Source organism: Homo sapiens, chromosome 10 (assembly GCF_000001405.40).
Source record: "Homo sapiens chromosome 10, GRCh38.p14 Primary Assembly".
In the NCBI taxonomy this organism is placed as follows: Eukaryota; Metazoa; Chordata; class Mammalia; order Primates; family Hominidae; genus Homo; species Homo sapiens.
The window spans coordinates 99,886,104-99,905,885 of record NC_000010.11 but is presented as its reverse complement, the minus strand read 5'-3'; the positions used below and the strand labels follow the sequence as shown (position 1 = coordinate 99,905,885).

Below are 19,782 nucleotides of genomic sequence, written 5' to 3'. Positions count from 1 at the left end.
CAATCTTCTCACCTCAGCTCCCTGAGCAGCTGGAACTATAGGCATGCACCATCAGGCCCAGCTAGTTTTTAAATTTTTGTAGAGATGGAGTCTCACTATATTGCCCAGGCTAGTCTTGGATGCCTGGCCTCAAGCGATCTTCCCTCCTCAGACTCCCAAAATGCTGTGATTATAGGCACGAGCCGCCACACATGTTTTTGAGACAAGGTCTTGCTCTGCTGCCTAGGCTAGAATGCAGTGGTGTGATCATGGCTCACCTCAGCCTTGACCTCCCAGGCTCAAGTGATCCTCCCACCTCAGCCTCCCAACTAGCTTTTTTATTTTTAGTAGAGATGAGGTCTTGCTCTGTTGCCCAGGCTGGTCTTGAATTCCTGAGCTCAGTCCTCCCACACTGCAAGATTACAGGTGTGACCCACTCTGCAGCCAGTTTAGGTACTCTATCCTATTTTACAGTGAAGAAACCGACACTTAGAGGGAAGGTAATTTGCCCAGGTCACATGGCTAGTAATTGATGGGACTGGCATTCAAACTCAAGTCTTTCTGTCGTGCAGGCAAATGCCATTAGCCTCTATACAGAATACAACTGTGTCTTTTGCATTTTCTGGAACAGTTAGAAAAACTGGAACCTGAGGTTCTTGCCCTTAGTCTAACCAGAGAGGTCAGGGAAGTTGAGGAAGGAGATACACACATTGAGTTGGGCAGAAGGAAGTCACAGTGACCCAGTTTTAGTGTGATGGTGAAGCATAAACGACAGTGTATATGATTTTTTAAGGCACTTGAAATAAGTATCTCTGGGTCATTTATTTGTATTAAGAAAGAAATGAGATAAAGTTGGCTGCTATCTAAAAGAGCTTAATTTTAAATTAAGCAGTTACTCATTTTTCTTCCAGTTTATTACCTGTTGTCGTTCCTGGGGCTCTCAGGTGGTTGGAGTTAACCAGCTTCTGCAAGGCGCCTTCTCCCCTTAGGTCTGATTCAAATCAGAAATGAGAGTCTTAGCATCTGTGTCTATAGTGTACTATACCTTAGATTATGACAATAAACTGAGAAATGAAAGCAAATATCCATAGCCCCACCTCCATAAGATAGCACCTGCATTTATTTTTTCTTCTTCCCTTCGCTTCTTGTCCAAAGTCAAACAAGGAGTTGGGTAGCAGGCTTCGATGTGTTGAAGACACACAGAGGTGGCAGAGAGGCCTCAACACTGAAAGGCTGAGACCTAGGCGCAAGGACTAATTTTTAGAGGAGGGATGGTGGGTGGTGGGGCTTGAGGGAGCCAAGACTGAGAGTACCATGCCGGTGGCTCTAACGGAAGGCCAGGCGTGCGTTCAGTGGGGGATTCACAAAGAACAAATGAGGTCTGAAACATCCGATGAGGGAAGGCTCCGAGAAGACCATGAAGGGCAAGTTAAAGCCTTATGGAGCCACGGGCAAAGGGCAGGTGGCTGAGATAGAGAATGATCAAGCAGCACTGGGAGACTCTGGGTACATGGTCATAGGTGGAAAGTACTCGCTTTACCTGATTTTAAACACATCCCGCCGAGAGCTATGTTGTTCATAATGACCCAGGATGTGTGTTTCTGTGTATGTCTGTGCTTAGTTTTACCATGTCCAGTGTTTTCCTTTTTTTTTCGAGACAGTCTCACGCTATTTCCCAAGCTGGGGTGTAGCAGTGTGATCACAGCTCACTGCAGCCTCTACCTTCTGGGCTCAAGCGATCCTCCCACCTCAGCCTCCCTAGTAGCTGGGACTACAGATGCGTACCACCACACCCAGCTAATTTTTATGTCCGATGTTTTCTGATATTTTCTTTTCTATTTGATCAGCCGGGCGTGTTGGCTCACACCAGTAATCCCAACACTTTGGGAGGCCGAGGCAAGGTGGGCAGATCATGTGAGCCCAGGAGTTCTGGACCAGCCTGGGCAACATGGGAAAACCCCGTCTCTACAGAAAAAAAAAAAAAATCCATTCTATTTCATCAAAACAGTGCTGACTGTGACCCATTAAGTATATTTCGTGACCCAGAGTTTGAAAGAGATTATAGGTGTAGCTTTGCTAGTTTGTAATTGATATAGAACAGTGACTATCAGGGAAGTTGAAGAACGGCGAATTGAATGTAAATCATGTCTGGATGGTGAAGATTCTAAGAATGCAACTAGGGAAAGGGCTGCAAAAAGAAGGTGGCAGACTAATGTAGAATGGTGCAACCAGATGAAGACATGGGTGGCTTTAGGAATTCCAAAGTGGCCGTGAAGGCCAGGCACGGTGGCCCACGCCTGTAATCCTAGCACTTTGGGAGGCCAAGGTGGGTGGATTGCTGAGCTCGGGAGTTCGAGACCAGCCTGACCAACCAGGTGAAACACCATCCCTACAAAACATACAAAAATTAGCCAGGTATGGTGGGGCACACTTGTAGTTCCAGCTATTTGGGGGGCTGAGGGCAGAGAATTGCTTGAGCTCAGGAGGTCAAGGCTGCAGTGAGCTGGTTCATGACAGTGCACTCCAATCTGGGTGACAGAGCAAGGCCCCATCTCTTAAAAAAAAACAAAACAAAAAAAAAGTGGCCGTGAAGATGAAAAAGGAGCCAGCCCCACCCCCACTGTTGTGACTGGTAGGTTGCAGGAGTAGACAGAAGGGAAGCTTCTGGCCAGGTGCTGTGGCTCCTGCCTGTAATTTCAGTAGTTTGGGAGGCCAAGGCGGGAGGATTGCTTGAGGCCAGGAGTTCAAGCCCAGCCTGGGCAACATAGTGAGACCTCGTTTCTACAAAAAAAAAAAAAAAAAAAATTGCCCAGGTGTGGTAGCACATACCTGTAGTCCCAGGTTCTTGAGAGGCTGAGGCAGGAGGATTGGTTGAGCCCAGGTGTTGGAGGCTGCAGTTGGCAATGGTCACAACACTGCACTCCAGTCTAGGATGTGGAGTGAGACCTTGTCTCAAAACAATTTTTTTTTTTTTTTTTTAAAGACAGAATCTTGCTCTCTGCCCAGGCTGGAGTGCAGTGGCACGACCTCTGCTCACTACAACCTCTGCCTCCTGGGTTCAAACGATTCTCCTGCCTCAGTCTCCCGAGTAGCTGGGATTACAGGCGCCTGCCACCATGCCTGGCTAATTTTTGTATTTTTAGTAGAGACGGGGTTTTGCCATGTTGGCCAGGCTGGTCTCGAACTGCTGACCTCAGGGGATCCGCCCACCTTGGCCTCCCAAATTGCTGGGATTACAGGCTTGAGCCACTACGTCCAGCCAACAATTTTTTTTTTTTTTTTTTTTTAAAGGGAGGCAGCCGGGTGCGGTGTTTCACACCGGTAATCCCAGCACTTTGGGAGGCTGAGACGGGCGGATCACCTGAGATCAGGAGTTTGAGACCATCCTGGCCAACATGGTGTAACCCTGTCTCTACTAAAAATACAAAAATGAGCCAGGCGTGGTGGCGCATGCCTGTGATCCCAGCTACTCAGGAGACTGAGGCAGGAGAATCACTTGAACTCAGGAGGCAGAGGTTGCAGTGAGTTGAGATCATGCCACTGCACTCCAGCCTGGGTGACACAGCGAGACTCCATCTCAAAAAAAAAAAAAAAAAAAAAAAAGAAGGGAGGCTTCCAGTGAGAAAGGGCAGTGTGAGGTGATATGAAAAAAGTTAAGTTTCTCTTACAGAAAGGAGTTATACATTAAGGAAAATAATTTAAATAGAAACTTTTTAGGCCAGGCATGGTGACTCACGCCCGTTATCCCAGCACTTTGGAAGGGCCGAGGCAGGTGGATCACTTGAGCCCAAGAGTTTGTGACCAGCCTGACCAACGTGCCGAAACCCCGTCTACCAAAAAATGCAAAAATTAGCAGGTGTGGTGGTGTCCCAGCTACTCAGGAGGCTGAGGTCGGAGGATCACTTGAGCCCAGGAGGTGGCGGGTGCAGTGAGCCAAGATTGTGCCACTGCACTCCAGCCTGGGCAACGCAGGAGACCCTGTCTTAAAAAAAGGAAAAAAAAAAGTTCTGCACAAGAACAGGGACTTCCATGGGACACAACAGTGAGAGAACAGAGGTGAGTCCACAGAAGCAGCGATAGGCTCCCTGAGGGGAGGGGTCGTGCCTGGACAGCTGGTAGGGATGGTTGGTTGTAGGGAAGCAGTAAATAGTATCATATTGGAGGGAGGAGAACAAGGATGAGAGCTCTTTTTTGTGGAACATGGAGCTGAAGAAGGGAGCACCAAATACACTGAGAGGAGGAAAGAAGGGCAAGAGGAAGAGTCATCATAGTAAGCCAGGGACCCGCACGTTCAGGCCACAGCTCTGAAGGCAATTGTTCTGTAGAAGTTTGCTTAGGAACTGTTCCTATGCCTAACTGACTTTAGATGAGGGGTCTGGGGATAGGGAAAAAAATGACCTCTTTATTTTTTTTACTAGTTTTTAACTGAAATATAGCATTTATTTAAAGTATGAATGTAGGGAATAAGTCACATAGTAGTAGCTGTGACTTTGTCACCAACAGAAGTCACATGTTTCTGTCAGATTAGGTCGTTGCAAATGTCTTGAAATTTCAGTAACCCTCAACCAGAGGCAGCCAATGTTACCAGTGTGTGTCACTCCTCAAGCTGTGACAGTATGGGGATTGTTAGACTCAGTGCTACATTTGGTTATTTAATACCTTATAAAGAAGTACATATGGCTGGGGCTCACACCTGTAATCCCAGCACTTTGGGAGGCCCAGGCAGGTGGATTGCTTGAGCCCAGGAGTTTGAGACCAGCCTGGCCAACATGGCAAAACCCTGTCTCTACTAAAATTACAAAAATTAACCAGGTGTGGCAGCGCACATCTGTAGTCCCAGCTGCTCAGGAGGCAGAGGTGGGAGGATCACTTGAGCCTGGGAGGTGGAGGTTGCAGTGAGCCAAGATCGTACCACTGCAGTGGAGCCTGGGCAACAGTGAGACCCTGCCTCAAAAAAACTAAAGTAGTATATAGGTTACTATATCATAAGTTGGGGATTTATCATTATAGGTATTTTAATGTAATATACTTTATCCAGTCTTATTTATGCACAAAAATGTTAGAAACTGCTGCTGTAGAAGAACTCCGTCTCTACTAAAAATACAAAAATTAGCTGGGTATGGTGGTGTGTACCTGTAATCCCAGCTACTTGGGAGGTTGAGGCAGAGGACTCACTTGAACCAGGGAGGCGGATGTTGCAGTGAGCCGAGATGTGCCACTGCACTCCAGCCTGGGCGACAAGAGACTCCGTCTCAGGAAAAAAAAATAAGAAACTGAGGGGGTCCTCCTTATGGGGTTCTCATTACATCCCTACATGGAGAACGCTCTCAGATGTCTGACTTGGCTCGACTGCAAAGGGACTGGAGGCTCTGTTTCAGAGGCCAGTCACATTGTGTGTGTGTGTGTTTGTTCTAAAACAAATACATGAGCCTGGGCAACATGGCGAAACCCCCTCTCTACCAAAAATACAAAAAATTAGCTGGGCATGGTGGCATGCACACGTGGTCCCAGCTACTAGGGACCGACCTGAGTCTGGGAGGTCGAGTCTGCAGTGGGCTGAGATTGTGCCACTGCACTCCAGCCTGGGTGACAGAGACCCTGTCTCAAAAAAAAATGAATACATACATATACGGATGACATGGCTTTCTAAATTTTCCTTTAAATGATTACAACTTTAAGCTGTTAGATGGAAGTTTCTTACTATTTGATGGATAGTCTTAGTATCATTTCTTGTAATAGGTAGGATTTAGCTGGTACTAAAGTTTGGCTGTGTACCTTACATTTAGTATACTGAGAAGAAAGTTTACTAAAAACACTGTATGTTTGTGTGTATTCCAAAGGACCTGTGTTTCTTGGTCACCGGGATGAGCTTGAGGGAACATACAAGATTTACTGCCAGAATCATGATGAGGCCATTGCGCTGCTTGAAATCTACGAGAAGGATGAGAAGATCCAGAAGCATCTTCAGGACTCCTTGGCAGATCTGAAGTAGGAGTTTTGACCACTTAACTTCCATTACAGCTCTTTAGTTCTCTAAGTTATACCTGTGTATATGCCTGGACTTGATGATGACATCTTATTTTAAACATAAGATATCCATGATATATATCATTTAAGTGGTTTCCTGATTGTATTTTTGTCCATGTGAATAAGTTTTATCTGTATAGAGTATTAGGTTAGCGTTATCAGGTTAAAAAGCAGCCAGGAGAGGATGGTTTGGTCCAAATAAGAGCATAGGTGAGAAGACTAAATACAGGGTTTTTTTTTTTGAGACGGAGTCTCACTCTCACCCAGGCCAGAGTGCAGTGGTGTAATCTCAGCTTATTGCCCAGGTCAGCATGCAGTGGCACAATCTTAGCTCACTGCAACCTCTGCCTCCCGGGTTCAAGCGATTCTCCCGCCTTAGGCTCCCAAGTAGCTGGAATTACAGGCACACACCACCATACCTGGCTAATTTTTGTATTTTTAGTGGAGATGGGGTTTCACCGTGTTGGCCACCTTGGTCTCAAACTCCTGACCTCAAGTGATCCGCCTGCCTCGGCCTCCCAAAGTGCTGGGATTATAGGTGTGAGCCACCATGCCCAGCTAAGGTATTCTAGACATCAGGTGAGATTGTCCTGGTCTTAGGGAAGCAAGGTATAAAGATATATGGATAAGTAGATCAAAGAGAAGTTAGGGGCTAACTTTTTTATTTTTTATTATTTTTTTATTTTTTGGAGAGACAGAGTCTCACTCTGTCGTCCAGGCTGGAATGCAGTGGTGCTCTCAGCTCACTGCAACCTCCACCTCCCGGGTTCAAGCGATCCCCTGCCTCAGCCCCCCAGTAGCTGGGATTACAGGCACGTGCCACCATGCCTAGCTAATTTTTATGTTTTTAGTATAGACGGGGTTTCACCAGGTTGGCCAGGCAGGTCTTGAACTCCTGACCTCAGGTGATCCACCCGCCTCGGCCTCCCAAAGTGCTGGGATTACAGGCGTGAGCCACCATGCCTGGCCGGGGCTAACATTTTTTAGTAGACTAAATATGTTACCATAAACATTCATAATTTTTTGTCCCACATGATTTATGTTCTGAGAAAAATGTGAAACTCAAGATTCTCTCTCTAATAAACTGTCTCTTTTCTTTTCATGCCCACTGCCTTGCAGGAGCCTATACAACGAATGGTAAGTTCCATTGCTGCTTGATGTATGCGCTCATTTCTTCTGTGGATTTTTCCTAACTAACTCTTAAGCAACTGTATTTTCTTCCTTTATAGACAAACCTAGAAGTAGACTCACCTTGCTGGGTTTTCTTTCGTAGCACTTATCCCCAAGGGAACACTTTACTTATCTGTTTATTGCCTATCTTCTCCTACCAGGACAGGGACTTTTGGGGTTACTATTAAATCCCCAGCACCTAGAACAGTACCTGGTGTTTATTAGATGAATACATGTTGAATGACTGAAATTGGAAAGTAGGGTAAAAGAATAGAGAGCAATATTTAGGAACAAATCCTGCCCATAGGTGTACATTATTATTATGTTAAAAAAAAGTTTTTTTTAAGGTGGGGTCTCACGATGTTCCCAGGCTGGGCGCTATATTATTGATAGCTTACTAAAGTCTTTTTTCCTTCTCTTACAGGGGATGCACAAATTATATTAACCTGGGCTCCTTCCTCATCAAACCAGTACAGAGAGTAATGCGTTACCCGCTGTTGCTAATGGAGTTGCTGAATTCCACCCCAGAATCCCACCCAGATAAAGTGCCTTTAACCAATGCAGTCCTTGCGGTCAAGGAAATCAACGTTAACATTAATGAATATAAACGGCGAAAGGACCTGGGTAAGAACAGCATAATTGCTGAAAAGGAGGTATGCCCTTTGAGAATGCTTTTCTTCTCAAAACAATTCATTACTTCGCTAGAGTTGGACAAGGCAGGTGGTAGGTATAATAGGGCTGTGATGAAGAAATGGTAGAATTTGGGGGAAATATGATATTTTATTATTATTTTTTTTGAGACAGAGTCTTGCTCTGTCCCCCAGGCTGGAGTGCAGTGGTGCTATCTCAGCTCACTGCAACCTCCACCTCCCATGTTCAAGCAATTCTCCCACTTCAGCCTCCCAAGTAGTTGGAATTACAGGCATGTGGCACCATGCCCAGCTAATTTTTGTATTTTTAGTAGAGACAGGGTTTCACCATGTTGGCCAAGCTGGTCTGGAACTCTCAGCCTCCCAAAGTGCTGTGATTATAGGCGTGAGCCACTGCACCCGGCCCAAAATGTGGTATTTATTAAAGGCAGAAGTAACGATAAAAAGCGGAAGTATGGTATATTGGAAATAAGGCATCTGTAATAAAATATATAGCAATAAGAGCCTTTCTCAAGAGATATGAAGACAGTGGAGACTAGGTGATGGGAAGTTTTATTCGAGCACGGGCAGTTTCCTCCTCACCTCATTTATGGAGCTCCTCTGGAGTCCATGCATAGACTTTTTTCTAAGTGTCTAATTGGATGTCTTACTACCTCTACTAAAGCTAGGACTTCTTGTCTTTTAGAAAACCCCAATCTGCTCACCTTTCTTGTCCTGTCTTCACTGCCCATGCCCAGTGACCTCTCTGGGTTGAGTCCCTCACCTCCCCTCCTAAAACAGTCAGTTGCCCACCCACCCACTCCTTCTTCATAACACTGAATGCACTCATCAGGTCTCTTGAGGCCCTAACTTGAGCATTCAGTGAGTATATATAGCACAGTGACTGTGCTGAGCTCATTTATTATTCATATCAAGATATAATACAGTGTAACCTTTTTGTCTTTCCATTCTTCTCCACACTTTAAAGTTATCTAAAATCATTTCTCTGCCTTCTACTTCAACTGTGTCACCCGCATTAGGATGGGATGTTGACTGTGGCTTCTAAAGCTCTCTGGTCATCCAGCCCTTTCCCTTGGTTCAAATCTCCTAATGCGATGTAGTCTCCAACTTCTACAACCAGGTATACCTTTTTGCTGCCTCCCAGTCTTCCCCTTGCCACCCTTCTACTTTTATCTCTACACTTTTCTGTAGGTTGTGCCTAATGTTTAACATGGTAATTAAATTACTGCTGTATAGCATTTTACTATGGGAGACGATTGGATATCAATATCTCATTTGTGTATGGCACCATTTAAGATGGCCTTACAAGTATTGCTTTCTGCATTTTATTGAAGAGGAAAATGAGACTCAAGGTAAAATGACTGATTTAATGCCATACCTTAAGTGGCAGACCCAGGCATTGACTTCAGATTTCCTTAAGTTCTTTCCCTTAACACCCTCTGCTGTTTTCCTCCTTGTCTCTGGCCCCTCTCCTGGCTGCCCATTGTCTCTCTGCTGTGCTTCAGATATCATGTCTGTCCATAAATCATTATTTGGATTAATATTTTGTTATAAGCTCATTGAAGACAAGGACTAGCTCCCGTTTGGGTGTTCATCTCATTTTATGGCTCATTTTGTAGTATGCCCATGCTGAGGAAAGTGCTTTTCTGACTTACTCCCTAGTCCTCAAGTACCGTAAGGGTGATGAAGATAGCCTTATGGAGAAAATTTCCAAACTGAACATCCACTCCATCATCAAGAAATCCAACCGAGTTAGCAGTCACCTGAAGCATCTCACTGGCTTTGCTCCTCAGGTGAGATCCCCATCCTGGAAGGCTTAGCGCATCTTTGACAGCTTTTCAGGGCTCCATGAGACAGCCTGCCTGGCGTCAATTGGCGTGGTTCCCTTCCTCAGACGTCCTCCGGTTTTACGAGCTGGTGGAGACAGGGCCCTCCAGCTGCTGGTTACAAAGGCAAATTAGAGGGTCAGATCAGTTGACATGTAATAATTATGGTAGTTTTCACCACCTCTAAGGAGCTTATAATTGATTTGGTGGGACAAAACTATAGTTGTAGACTTACTAAGCTAGCAGGAATTTAAGAGATCACCTAGTTGGATACATGATGTTACAAAGAAGGAAACGTTAAGTGTAAGAGATTGAATGGATTGAAAAACAGTTTATCGGCGATGCTGAAAGTTGACCTGAAGTCTGCAGACATCATTCTGCTATACTATATATATTAAGGTACAATTCATGGAAAATATAAGCCAGAAAATAGTCCATTGTTAGGTTTTGTATTTTGTTCTCCAAATGCTGTAGTATTTTAGAAAAACAGTTCAGTGAGAGCAAGAGTCATGTTGACCTGAGCCTTATAGGAAGGGGGCAGGCATGCCACAGGGAGGGAGAAGACCTGCCAGGCAGGGGAACCTCATGAGGAACAGTCCTAGGTTCAGCAGACATGGCAGTGCTGGGGTGAAGAGGGCAGCCTGGCCAGAGCAGAGGGCTTGCAAAGAAGGTTTAAAGGAGGGCCTGTGTGTATTTTGGAGGTCTTTTGAAACCACATGCAGGTGTTTAAATCAATTCACTATGATTCAGGAAAACATTAAAGGTTTAAAATTTGAACAAAAGATGTTTTTAAGGAAGCTACTTTTGGCTGGGCGTGGTGGCTCATGCCTATAATCCCAGCACTCTGGGAGGCCAAGGCGGGGTGGATCACCTGAGATCAGGAGTTCGAGACTAGTCTGGCCAACATGGTGAAACCCCATCTCTACTAGTAATACAAAAATGAGCTGGGCGTGGTGATGCAAGCCTGTAATCTCAGCTATGCGAGAGGCTGACGCAGGAGAATTGCTTGAATCCAGGAGGCGGAGGTTGCAGTGAGCCAAGATCATGCCATTGCACTCCAACCTGGACGACAAGAGCAAAACTCCGTCTCCACAAAAAAAAAAAAAAAAAAGCAAGCTACTTTTGCCAGTAAGATTAAAGGAGTGTCCAGATTTGCTAACAGCACTTGTTTATTTTTGAACAGATAAAAGATGAAGTATTTGAAGAAACAGAAAAAAACTTCCGAATGCAAGAAAGATTGATTAAGTCTTTTATCCGAGACCTGTCTCTCTACCTCCAGCACATCCGGGTGAGCATCAACATCACTGTAGTTAGATTAACATACGATGTAATTCTGTCCCCTTTCCTGTTCATCAGTCATATTGTTTAATGAATGCTGAGTAATCTGGACTCAAATTACTATTATGCCCCATCATACTTTTTGTTGAGATGCCAGTAGGTTATTTAACAGTAATAGCATTTAGATCAATGTTGTCACATTCATTTCAAAGCAGCCCAACTTTTTCCACCCTCTTTTTGGTCTTCATCACCCTTCATCCCACACACACCTTATTTTTCTTTTACTTATTACAGTTCATTTTATCAAAACCAGTTTGAAAATCAAATATTGAATGCAAAAGCTAGGAAGCTGTAAACAGGAAACGTAAACGAGAAAGAACAAGCAGTGAATACGAGTAAGAGAATGTTCCTATGTGGTATGCTTTCTGATCACTTCAGCTCCCAATTTATTAATATTCAGTTGCTATAATAAGGCCTCTAAAGGTATTAGAGCCATAAACAGCTTTGAGATCTAGAGAAGCCAAGGAGATCAGGTGAGCCTAGGTCTTTCCTTGCCTCAAGCAATGCTTCCTCCCTGAGGTCAGAACCAGCACCACCATCCTTTCTATTCTTGTCTCTAATTTCTCTATTGATTTAATATAGGATGCTGTGAGTGTACTGGATACTCCTGTCCCTCTGATCTTTTAGAGACAGAGTCTCTTTCTCTCACCCAGACTGGAGTGCAATAGTGCCATCATAGCTCAGTGCAGTCTCCAAGTCCTGGGCTCAAGCAATCCTCCCACCTCAGTGGCTGGGACCACAGGTGCACACCACCACACCTGGCTAATTTTTTTAAGCAGAGATGAGGTCTTACTATGTTGCCCAGGCTGGTCTTAAACTGGCCTCCCGAAGTGCTGGGATTACAGGCATGAGCCACCATGTCCAGCCTGAATATCTGATCTTATAAAAGAATTTCCTTAAAAGGGATCCTTAACTTTTTTAAAAAAAAAGTTTTTAAACTGAATAAAATGGTATAAAATTTAAAGGTACCAAAGGGCTAAGTAAAAATAATTATTCCTCCTACCTTGTCACCTTCTGTAGAGACAGTCACCATCCATTAAGTTCTTCCCTCCTATCAGAGATTTCATGTGTGTGTAGGTGGGAGATACACTAGCATCTTGGGTTTCACACTTAATCAAATTTCAGAAGTGATGTAGCCATACACACAGAGGCCCATTGTTCTTTTTTCCTTTGAGACAGAGTCTCACTCTCGCCAGGCTAGAGTGCAGTGGCAGAATCTCAGCTCACTGCAACCTCCGCCTCCTGGGTTCAAGTGGTTCTCCTGCCTCAGCCTCCCAAGTAGCTGAGGCGTACACCACCACGCCCAGCTAATTTTTGTATTTTTAATAGAGACGGGGTGTCATCATGTTGGCCAGGATGGTGTCGATCTCTTGACTTCATGATCCACCCACCTTGGTCTTCCAAAGTGTTGGAATTACAGGCGTGAGCCACCGCGCCTGGCCTTGGTCCATTGTTCTTTACAATTGCGTAGTATATCACTGTGGACAAGTCATAATATATTTAACTAGTCCCCTGTTGGCAGATATTTAAATCGCTTGTAGTTGGAAAAGATTAGAACTAGTCATACAAGGAATATCCTTGTGGATACATCATTTTCTGATCTATGTGAGTCTGTCTGAAGGCCAGTGTACTTCTGAGCCAAATCTTGTGGCAGTATAAATTTTGACAACTACCGTTAAATGTCAGAGATGTTGTAAAGGTGAAAAGTTCCACAAGCAATATCCCTTGCTAACTCAGTGTTATCAAAACCAGTGGGTTTTATCTTTGCCTGCAAGAGAGGTAAAAAATATTTCAATATAGTTTAAATTGTCATTTCTTATATTAGGAATGGAGTTGAGAATATTCTTATATGTCTATATCATTATATTTTTCTGTGACTTACCTATATTCTGGCATCTTTATCAGTTTGTTGATCTCTGTATCTATTGGAGGATATAGTCCTTTGTCTGAGATGGTTTGCAGATGTCCTCCCCCTACCTCAGTTTATTGACTTCTGAGTTTGCTTAAAGTGTTTTCTCCGCTTAAGAGTTTAAACTTGCATTTTATGGCTTCTTAGTTTTGTGTCATATGTAGAAAGGACTTTGCTGTTCCAACATTTAAAAATTCTCGTGTTTTAGTATTTTTTTTTAATTTATTTTTTTATTGATAATTCTTGGGTGTTTCTCACAGAGGGGGATTTGGCAGGGTCATGGGACAATAGTGGAGGGAAGGTCAGCAGATAAACAAGTGAACAAAGGTCTCTGGTTTTCCTAGGCAGAGGACCCTGCGGCCTTCCGCAGTGTTTGTGTCCCTGATTACTTGAGATTAGGGATTGGTGATGACTCTTAACGAGCATGCTGCCTTCAAGCATCTGTTTAACAAAGCACATCTTGCACCGCCCTTAATCCATTTAACCCTGAGTGGACACAGCACATGTTTCAGAGAGCGCAGGGTTGGGGGTAAGGTCACAGATCAACAGGATCCCAAGGCAGAGGAATTTTTCTTAGTGCAGAACAAAATGAAAAGTCTCCCATGTCTACTTCTTTCTACACAGACACGGCAACCATCCGATTTCTCAATCTTTTCCCCACCTTTCCCGCCTTTCTATTCCACAAAGCCGCCATTGTCATCCTGGCCCGTTCTCAATGAGCTGTTGGGCACACCTCCCAGACGGGGTGGTGGCCGGGCAGAGGCGCCCCTCACCTCCCGGACGGGGCGGCTGGCCGGGCAGGGGGCTGACCCCCCCACCTCCCTCCTGGACGGGGCGGCTGGCCGGGCAGAGGGGCTCTTCACGTCCCAGTAGGGGCGGCCGGGCAGAGGCGCCCCTCACCTCCCAGATGGGGTGGCTGGCCGGGCGGGGAGCTGACCCCCCCACCTCCCTCCCGGACGGGGCGGCTGGCCGGGCAGAGGGGCTCCTCACTTCCCAGTAGGGGCGGCCGGGCAGAGGCGCCCCTCACCTCCCGGACGGGGCGGCTGGCCGGGCAGGGGGCTGACCCCCCCACCTCCCTCCCGGACGGGGCGGCAGAGACGCTCCTCACCTCCCAGACGGGGTCGTGGCCGGGCAGAGGCGCTCCTCACATCCCAGATGGGGCGGCGGGGCAGAGGCGCTCCCCACGTCTCAGACGATGGGCGGCCGGGCAGAGACGCTCCTCACTTCCTAGATGTGATGGCGGCCGGGAAGAGGTGCTCCTCACTTCCCAGGTGGGATGGCGGCCGGGCAGAGACGCTCCTCACTTTCCAGACTGGGCAGCCAGGCAGAGGGGCTCCTCACATCCCAGACGATGGGCGGCCAGGCAGAGACACTCCTCACTTCCCAGACGGGGTGGCGGCCGGGCAGAGGCTGCAATCTCGGCACTTTGGGAGTCCAAGGCAGGCGGCTGGGAGGTGTAGGTTGTAGCGAGCCGAGATCACGCCACTGCACTCCAGCCTGGGCACCATTGAGCACTGAGTGAACGAGACTCCGTCTGCAATCCCGGCACCTCGGGAGGCCGAGGCTGGCGGATCACTCGCGGTTAGGGGCTGGAGACCGGCCTGGCCAACACAGCGAAACCCCGTCTCCACCAAAACCAGTCAGGCGTGGTGGCGCGTGCCTGCAATCGCAGGCACTGGGCAGGCTGAGGCAGGAGAATCAGGCAGGGAGGTTGCAGTGAGCCGAGATGGCAGCAGTACAGTCCAGCTTTGGCTCCGCATGAGAGGGAGACCGTGGAAAGAGAGGGAGACGGTGGGGAGAGGGAGAGGGGGAGGGAGAGGGGGAGAGGGAGAGGGAGTTCTAGTACTTTTATCATTCCATTTTTTAAGATTTTAAAATCTTTTTTTAAGTTTTAAGATTAAATCATTGCTCTGTCTGGACTTTAGTAAATCAGGTTTGAAGCAGGGATTCAACTTTATTTTTCCAGCTGGTTACCCAGTGGCCTATCATTTATTGAGTAAATAGCCAACTTCCACCCTTGTGTTTTAAAAATGTAACTAGGGCCGGGCACAGTTGCTCATGCCTGTAATCCCAACACTTTGGGAGGCCGAGGTGGGCAGATCAGCTGACGTCAGGAGTTTGAGACCAACCTGGCCAACGTGGTGAAACCCTGTCTCTACTAAAACTACAAAAATTAGCTGGGCATGATGGCAGGCACCTGTAATCCCAGCTACTCAGGAGGCTGAGGCAGGAGAATTGCTTGACGCCGGGAGGTGGAGGTTGCAGTGAGCTGAGATCATGCCATTGCACTCCAACCTGGGTGAGAGTGAGACTCCATCTCAAGAAAAATAAAACACACAATTGGGGCAGCTACTGAGTATGTTTCTTTGTCTTGCTGCTTCATAGGACTTTCCCCTAATATCCCTCTCATGCTGATATCCCTCTGTTGGCCATTTTCTCCCCAGGTTTTCTAAAGTGTGACACTATATACCTGAGCCCTCAGCCCTTAAAAGGCTCACCTCCATAGCAGTGACTGATACATTTTGGGTTGGGATATATGTAATGTTGAAAACCATCTGATGGAAGTATCAATTTAGTTCTGACTGCTGACAGAAATTGAGAGAAAATGTTGAATAGTTTTGTCATGCCACAAAATGAAAAGCCTGCCCAATAATAAAATTAGATTGACTAACAGCGAGAAAACCAGCAAGAACATAAGCTGAGGGCCATTGGCTGGATAATTTGGTATCTACATTGGCATATGGGCTGATATTTGGGGACTTTATAACATTCCTTTAAAAGAAAACAAGAGGACATCACTTTTCACATTAGATCTCCCACTCAAGAGGAATTAGCAACATTCCCTGGGTTATCTTACTGACGAAGCCCTGGCTTTATATATACAGATATAAATATTAAAGACAAAAGGTCTAAAAATGATATAAAAATAAAGCATCAAACCAATGTATGAGGCACTGATGGTTTTGCTTAGGGACTTTGCTTAGGAATGGGAAACCAGGTTGTGATGATCAGTAGCATGGCAGGGCAGTTGTCTTTGAGACGGTGACAGCATGAACCAAGACTTGAGGAAGGAGAGGTAACTGGTCATTATCCTAATCCTATAGGAATCATCTTGGTTCTAATTTGATAATTTACTTTTTGTTAAATTAAGAATCCCTATTAGGGACATAGGGGAATGCCAAAGAGATGATAAAAGCCCTCAACAGTTTTTTAAGAATTAAAAGTCTTAGACTTTTCTCTTTTTGCCCTTGAAATAGACTAATGGAGTATTTAGTTTGTTTGGGTTACAGCCCAGCATTGTAGAGATGGGGTCTCACCATGCTGGCCAGGCTGGTCTCGAAAGAAAGCCTGGAAAACCAACCTGGAGTTCAAACTCAGTCACTGTCAGGAGGAGTTGACTATGTGATAGTGGAGTCAGCAAACAAAACAGACAAAAGTCTCTACCTTTGTGGAGCTCGCATTTTTACTAGGAGGGTGGGTGAGGGAGATCATGACAATAAGCAAGCATTAGTCAATTCTAATCATGTGAGAGAGTATTTTTTTGCAAAGACAAAAAAAGGAAGCAGCACAGCAGGAGCTATTGGGAGTGCCAGGGTCGGATGGGAAACCAGGTTTTGAGGATCAGTAACATGGCAGGACAGTTGTCTTTGAGATGGCGACAGCATGAACCAAGACTTGAGGAAGGAGAGGTGACTGGTCATTATCGTAATCCTATAGGAATCATCTTGGTTCTAATTTGATAATTTGCTTTTTGGTAAATTAAGAAACCCTATTAGGGACATAGGGGAATGCTAAAGAGATGATAAAAGCCCTCAACAGTTTTGTTAAGAATTAAAAGTCTTAGCCTTTCTCTGTGCCCCGTAAGTCATAGTTTATGAAAATATGCTTATTTCAAAGCTAAAATACCAGACTAGTTAGAAAATTTCAAATTATGGAACTCATTTTTCCAAGACTGCTATTCAGTCTTGGAATGTATGACAAAAGCTGGAAAGTTCTGTCTGTTCTGACTTGTGTCTGTCCTAACTGGCTCCAGGAGTCCGCATGTGTGAAAGTGGTGGCTGCTGTGAGCATGTGGGATGTGTGCATGGAGAGAGGACACCGGGACCTGGAGCAGTTTGAGAGGGTGCATCGCTACATCAGTGACCAGCTCTTCACAAACTTTGTAAGTAACTTTTTCTTCAAAAGTTGGCCCCCTTCCCAGGGTCATCTCAAATACATCAGCTCATGCAAGTCAGTTCCACGGACACAGGCCCTGGGCACCAGGCATATTAGTCATCCTTTAGCTATATTCATATTGGGGTTTGATATTCACAACATGACTTTCAGTTAGTTAAAGGGAGATGTAGGACCTGTGTCTGTACAAACAGGTTTTTTAAAAAATAGCTTGTGATTAATTTAGTTTCAGAGGACAAAGGAAAACTAGGCAATGAACTCTGATCAAATAAAAGCAACTATAGGAATAATAACTTGAAGAGGGTCCAGGCACAGTGGCTCATGCCTGTAATCCTAGCACTTTGAGAGGCAGAGGCAGGCAGATCCCTTGAGGTCAGGAGTTCAAGACCAGCCTGGCCAAGGTGGTGAAACCCTGCCACTACTAAAAATACAAAAATTAGCAGGGCATGGTGGTGGGCACCTGTAATCCCAGGTACTCAGGAGGCCGAGGCTGGAGAATAGCTTGAACCCAGGAGGAGGAGGTTGCAATGAACCAAGATAGCACCACTGTACTCCAGCCTGGGCAACAGAGCAAGACTCTGCCTCAAAACAAAAACAAACAAACAAACAAAAAAAAAACCTTGAAGACAAATATTTAGGAATATAGTTAATATGTTACCAAAGAGATTTGAGATGGTAAAAACTACTTTAAGTCCGGGCATGGTGGCTCACGCCTCTAATCCCAGCATTTTGGGAGGCCGAGGTGGGCGGATCACCTGAGGTTGGGAGTTGAGACCAGCCTGACCAACATGGAGAAACCCTGTCTCTACTAAAAATACAAAATTAGCCAGGTGTGGTGGCGCACACCTGTAATCCCAGCTACTCGGGAGGCTGAGGCAGGAGAATTGCTTGAACCTGGAAGGTGGAGGTCATGGTGAGCCGAGATCATGCCATTGTACTCCAGCCTGGGCAACAAGAGCGAAACTCTGTCTCAAAAAAAAATTGCTTGAAGTACTGAAGACCAAATTTCTTGAGAAATTCTAAATCCATATATATGGGATTGTTTAATCCCTTGTAGAAAAAACTGGATGGGGTTTGATAGTTTTGTAGGGATCTATAAGTGGCCTGAGGGTGAAAAAGACATGCCCACCTGGGGAGCTGACAGGTGTTCTAATTGTACATTATTTTTAATAAGATGCTACTAAGTACTACTAAGTACCTGTTTATGTTCTTTATGTATTCATTGCCTTACCCTTAATGTCTGTGTGTTAGAAAGAATTAAAGAGAAAAATTTATAATTTTTGTTTTGAGATGGAGTCTCACTCTGTCACCCAGGCTGGAGTGCAGTGGCACAATCTCTGCTCACTGCAACCTCTGCCTCCCAGGTTCAAGCGATTCTCCTGCCTCAGCCTCCCAAGGAGCTGGGACTACAGGCATGCACCACCATACCTGCCTAATTTTTGTATTTTTAGTAGAGACGGGGTTTTGCCAGGCTGGTCTCAAACTTCTGACCTCAAGTGGTCTGCCCACCTTGGCCTCCCAAAGTGCTGGGATTATGGGCATGAGCCACCGTTCCCAACCAAGAGAAAAATTCTTTGGAAGATAAAAATGGGGGCTGTGTGCGGTGGCTGACTCCTGTAATCCCAACTTCTTGGGAGGCTGAGGCTGCAGTGAGCTGAGATTGCGCCACTGCACTCCAGCCTGGGTGACAGAGCAAGACTCCGTCTCAAAAAAAAAAAAATGGGTATTACCTAGTTATGATTAAAGGTTTATGAGTGTATGAAAGTTATTCCACCTCAGATTTATGTAACAACTAACTCTGGAGTTAAATTCAAGCTATGTAGACATGTACACATAATAAATGTTACCAGGTAAACTTCACGGCTGGTTTCTAATGCACACATCATATCAGTGTGCAGCTTAGCATTTATCACCTCAAGGAGGTCAAGTGAGATTAGTGTATTTTACATACTCCTTGATGTGGGAATTGAAGGTATCTAGTGAGAAGTCTTGTGGAGTATTTAAGTAGAGGCTAGTGATGGGTTAGTAGAATACTGTTGTAGATCTGTATGGGTTTAGCTTGTGTACTAGAAACGAAGTAGGTGGTTCAGGACACAACAAAGTCAGCCTTAAGAGTGACTTGGATAATCACAAATGTGGGATGCTGTCCAGCTGAGCAATGTGCCTTTCTCGTCCCTACAGAAGGAGAGGACAGAGCGGCTTGTCATCTCCCCCTTAAATCAGTTACTGAGCATGTTTACAGGGCCCCATAAGCTGGTACAGAAACGCTTTGACAAGCTCCTGGACTTCTATAACTGTACAGAACGGGCAGAAAAGCTAAAGGACAAGAAGACCCTGGAGGAGCTGCAGTCGGCCCGGAACAACTATGAGGCCCTGAATGCACAGCTGCTGGATGAGCTGCCCAAGTTCCACCAGTACGCCCAGGGCCTCTTCACCAACTGTGTCCACGGCTATGCTGAAGCCCACTGTGACTTTGTGCACCAGGCTCTGGAGCAATTAAAGCCACTGCTTTCGGTGAGTTTCTTACCTGTTCAGTGGGATGGTCATCTATAGCCTTTGCCTGGTATTTTTCTGGGAAAAATGGTAGCATGGTTTGAAAAATTATCTGAATTAGATAAACTGAATGTGTCGCTAGTTCATCCCTCAGGAAATCTTAATCCCTTGATGGTGTCATGAAGCCTGTGGCTTCTGAAACATCTTTTCCCTCTTG

At 45.5% G+C, this 19,782-nt stretch overlaps 1 protein-coding gene across 12 annotated transcripts in view, besides 1 other annotated feature; it reads left to right on the top strand.

The window, feature by feature from the left end:
* DNMBP (dynamin binding protein) overlaps window positions 1–19,782 on the top strand; it is a 134,377-nt gene that overhangs the window by 104,062 nt on the left and 10,533 nt on the right. For 9 of the 12 annotated variants that reach the window (NR_199816.1, NR_199817.1, XM_047424910.1 and 6 more), the window contains 7 exons: window positions 5,820–5,967; window positions 7,126–7,143; window positions 7,601–7,800; window positions 9,489–9,619; window positions 10,836–10,940; window positions 16,933–17,061; window positions 19,254–19,586. Coding sequence is in view for 10 of the 12 variants with exons in the window: in XM_047424910.1 (XP_047280866.1) it covers window positions 5,820–5,967; window positions 7,126–7,143; window positions 7,601–7,800; window positions 9,489–9,619; window positions 10,836–10,940; window positions 16,933–17,061; window positions 19,254–19,586 (1,064 nt within the window). In the remaining 2 variants the exon portion in view is untranslated. Of the gene's footprint in view, window positions 1–5,819; window positions 5,968–7,125; window positions 7,144–7,600; window positions 7,801–9,488; window positions 9,620–10,835; window positions 10,941–11,224; window positions 11,326–16,932; window positions 17,062–19,253; window positions 19,587–19,782 lie in introns of all 12 variants that reach the window. The other 3 variants (NM_001441293.1, NM_001441290.1, NM_001441288.1) reach the window with 3 other exon arrangements.
* Window positions 13,899–14,758: an enhancer, noted in NCBI's record as "H3K27ac-H3K4me1 hESC enhancer chr10:101650885-101651744 (GRCh37/hg19 assembly coordinates)". NCBI's record gives its function as "activates a minimal SCP1, AML or CMV promoter by ChIP-STARR-seq in naive H9 embryonic stem cells {active_cell/tissue: H9 hESC(naive)}" and the evidence as "EXISTENCE:reporter gene assay evidence [ECO:0000049][PMID:30033119]".